The 4,150-nt window shown below is 39.3% G+C and overlaps 1 pseudogene; it reads left to right on the top strand.

Annotated features, from left to right (window-relative positions):
- On the top strand, positions 208-2,368 carry HSFY3P (heat shock transcription factor Y-linked 3, pseudogene; annotated as a pseudogene).

The raw sequence follows: 4,150 nt of genomic DNA, 5'->3' as shown, positions 1-4,150 counted from the left end.
TATTTTTTTTACTGGATACCTTTCTAGGAAGAATTGTCCTATAAAGAAATGAGGAATGAAAATGAAAATGAAGAAATTTTCATTTCTCATACTTGGCTGAATTTTTTACATTTGTTGCTAGGAGACCAAAGCCCTCTTGTGATATCATTGCTACTCAGGTTGGGAAACATCGTGATGGTTACTTTATCTGCCTAGGGCTTCTGAAGCAGCATTTGAAGCTGCAGGCTTGAAAACCATGCAGGCTGGAAGAGTAGCTAAAGAAATATTTATTTGAGATGGCACATGTTTCTTCAGAAACTCAAGATGTTTCTCCCAAAGATGAATTAACTGGTTCAGAAGCCTCCACTAGGTCTCCATTTTGTGAACACACGTTCCCTGGGGACTCAGACTTAAGGTCAATGATTGAAGAAAATGCTTTTCCGGTTTTGTCACAAGGATCCTTGATAAAAAGGCCACGTTACACAGTTTGTGTCTCTGAGCCAGATAAAGATAATGATTTTCTTTCTCTGACCTTTCCCAGGAAACTTTGGAAAATAGCTGAAAGTGACCAATTCAAGTCTATTTCGTGGGATGAGAATGGAACTTGCAGAGTGATTAATGAAGAACTCTTCAAGAAAGAAATTTTGGAAGAAAGGCTCTTTACAGAATATTGGAAACTGACAGTATGAAAAGCTTAGTTTGACAGCTCAACCTCCATGTATTTAGTAAAATTTGAGAGAATTTTCAAACATCTGCTTCTTTGGCCAACTTTCTGGCAGAAGAAAAACAAGTCTCTGTTTTAAGCAAAGTATTCAAAATATTTCAGTTACCACAAGTAGAGTATAATATATGATTTTATTTTATACATCAGTAAACATGCTAATACATGCAGTAAGACCAAATTTCAAAAATTATGTGAAATACTAAGGTTATTTAATTTTTTGAAAACATTGAGGACAACTTGAGCATTAAACTTTCAGTGTCTTAAAAAATTTTGCCAACAACTTTGAATCTTATCAGTGAACTCCAAATAAAGATACCAAAGCCACTAGTGAAATGTTACTGTCAATATATAACATGTTTTCACTTGACGGCTTTATTAATTGAATGCTTTTTTTCCCAAAAAGTGCATTCTTTTTTTTTTTTTTTTGAGACAGAGTCTCGCTCTGTAGCCCAGGCTGGAGTGTAGTGGCCTCGGCTCACTGCAAGCTCCGCCTCCCGGGTTCATGCCATTCTCCTGCCTCAGCCTCCCCAGTAGCTGGGAATAGAGGCACCCGCCACCAAGCCCAGCTAAATTTTTTTTGTATTTTTAGTAGAGATGGGGCTTCACCGTGTTACCCAGGATGGCCTCGATCTCCTGACCTCATGATCTGCCTGCCTTGGCCTCCCAAAGTGCTGGGATTACAGGCGTGAGCCACCGCGCCCGGCTGCGCATTCTTAAAAATAGCCAACAATGTGCATGCATTAGCTGATGACATTAACTGTGTGTGATAATACAGAAATCTGAGACTTTACACGTTAGATTTGTGATAATCGCTTGTCTCTTGGTTAAAAATGGCACTAAATCAACTTCTCCTTTGGTTTTAGTTAGAGTTCTCGTAATCCAAATTTCAAACATGACTGTCCCCAACTTTCAGTAAGAATGAAGAGTTGGGATTAAAAATCCTTCTCCTGTATCTACTTTATTTGCTGAAGATTTCAACAAGAAGCACTTTAGAGCAGGGTATAACATGGATAGTCATAATTCTGGCTTAGCTGCTGAAACTAGTGAAGAAAGTTCATTTCCAACCTCTACAAATTTAAATATGCCTCTAACAAGGAAGTATTGTGTCAGCTAGAGAATTGCTAGTTCAACTGACCCAGTCAGAAGCAGTTTTCCTCCTCCATCTTCAACTTCAGTTGGATCATCAGACCAAATTGCCACAGATCAACATGCTATTTTAAATCAGTTGACCAATATTCATATGCACTCTCATAGCAGCTACATGCAAACAAATGGACACATTGTGAATTTTGTTACAACCACAACTTCTCAATACCACATCACACCTCCCTTACAGAATAGCTTTTTGGGGCTGCCAGTGGAACAACTACTTTTCCAACCAGATATTTTGAGGTATCAGTCAATGAGGCTCCTTATCCTAACCTGCCACCAGCAGGCAACCAGTGGTTCCAAATGCCTATGACATTTGATACATCGGCTGCCTGTCTTTTCAGGCCATCTCATCAACCGTCTTCACTGGACAAATATCACCCTAATTACAACATATCTTCCACCAAAGGGGTAACAGATTATGCAGGACAACAGGGACTGAAATTTACATTGATAAAAAATTTTTAAATTCCTGCAATTCTCTTATTAAACAATAAAATTACATGTTTACCTTTATGGTTGCTTTTCCCTTATTTCTGAAAACAAGGTTAAGATTTCATAAAATGGTACTTTATTTCAGTGGTGGGCTATTATACTATTTTTACAACATATGTGGACTTTTTGATCATTCGACAGGAAATTTGACATGCCCCTTTGTAAGTTTATTTAGTTCTCTAAAGAGGAAAAAATAATAGAGTGCTTTAATCCATTTGCTGCTGCAACAACAGAATACCATTGACTGGGTAATTTGTAAAAAAAAACTCATTTTGCTCATGTTTCTGGAGGCTGGGAAGTCCAAGGGGCTGCATCTGGTGAGGGTTCCTTTACAACATGGCAGGAGGGCATCATACAGTGAAGGACTTGTGATAAACAGAAAATCAGGGCCAAACTCATCCTTTGATCCAAAGCCCACTCACACAATAACTAACTTATTCTCAAGATAATGCCATCGATCCAGTCATGATAGGTTGCACCCTCACAGCTAATCATTTCTTAAAGGTCCCACCTCCCAACACTATTACAATGGCTACAGAATTTCAATGTTAGATTTGGAGGGGACATTCAAAACCATGGCAGTGAGCAAGGGCAAAAAAAGGAACTGAAGCTAGCAAAAGGTAATAAGCAACTTCTCGAAGTCTGGCCTAAATCAAATGAGGGCCTAAATTAGGATGGCACAAAGGAAGGAACAAATGCACACATACACATGCACACACAAATAAAAACTCCGGAGAAAGCTTAACACACTATTTACTTCAGTATTTTCTCAGTTACATTTCCCTAGTTATTTTAAACTTGGATTTTAGTTGGCAAAGATCATCTTTATTACAGTTCATACCTAGCCAGCTCAGTAAACATGATCATCATTATTTGCATCATCACTTGAGTAACAAAGTTCACGTGATATTATACTCATGGACTGCATCACTGGCAGGACATGGTGGAATTTCACAGCTGGCATCAGCAAGGGCCATTTCTGACCTTCCGTCAAAGCATTCCAGCAGGTTTTTGCCTTTAATAACCTCCTGCAAGAGTCCACCTTTCACATTTTCCAATGCACATTTTCTTCTCTTTTTATTTATTTATTTGTTTTTTGAGACAGAGTCTCAGTCTGTCATCAGACCACAGTGCACTGGAGTGATCTCAGCTCACTGCATCCTCCACCTCTGGGTTCAAGTGATTCTCATGCCTCAGCCTCCCAAGTAGCTAGGGTTACAGATGTGCAGCACCATGCTGGGCTAATTTTTGTATTTTTATTAGAGACGGGGTTTCGCCATGTTGGCCAGGCTCTCCTGGCCTTAGGTGATCCACTCACCTTTGCCTCCCAATGTGCTGGGATAACAGCCATAAGCCAGCATACCTAGCCTCTAATGCACACTTTTATCACATTGGCTTCATGCTCCATCCAAACTCAGATTTAATTTCTTAAGTTGGCATTTAATACCTTCTAGATTTTGAGCCCAGGTCCTCAGGATGGCTGAATAAATCACTTCAAGATCTGACATTTGTCTACCTTTCAGCTTCATGTCTGTTTCACTACTGTTTATCTGGAGCAAGATTCAAACAAACCACTTTCGGCCATGCCCTTTCCCATCTTGTACCTTTTGCCCCATTTCTTTCCTGGAGATAAAAGACCCCCTCTCCCTCTTTGCCTACTTAAGACTCCTCCAGCACAGACATCACTCCTTCCAAGAGATGTTTCTTATCTATCACATTAATTTTCTTGTCTATCTGTCTGGGACACCCAGCAGTGACCTAACACAGTGACTGATATATATATGTATGTTTATATATATATAT

This window comes from Homo sapiens, chromosome Y (assembly GCF_000001405.40).
Source record: "Homo sapiens chromosome Y, GRCh38.p14 Primary Assembly".
NCBI lineage: Eukaryota > Metazoa > Chordata > Mammalia > Primates > Hominidae > Homo > Homo sapiens.
The sequence above is the reverse complement of the archived record's forward strand: the minus strand, read 5'-3'. Positions and strand labels throughout refer to the sequence as shown.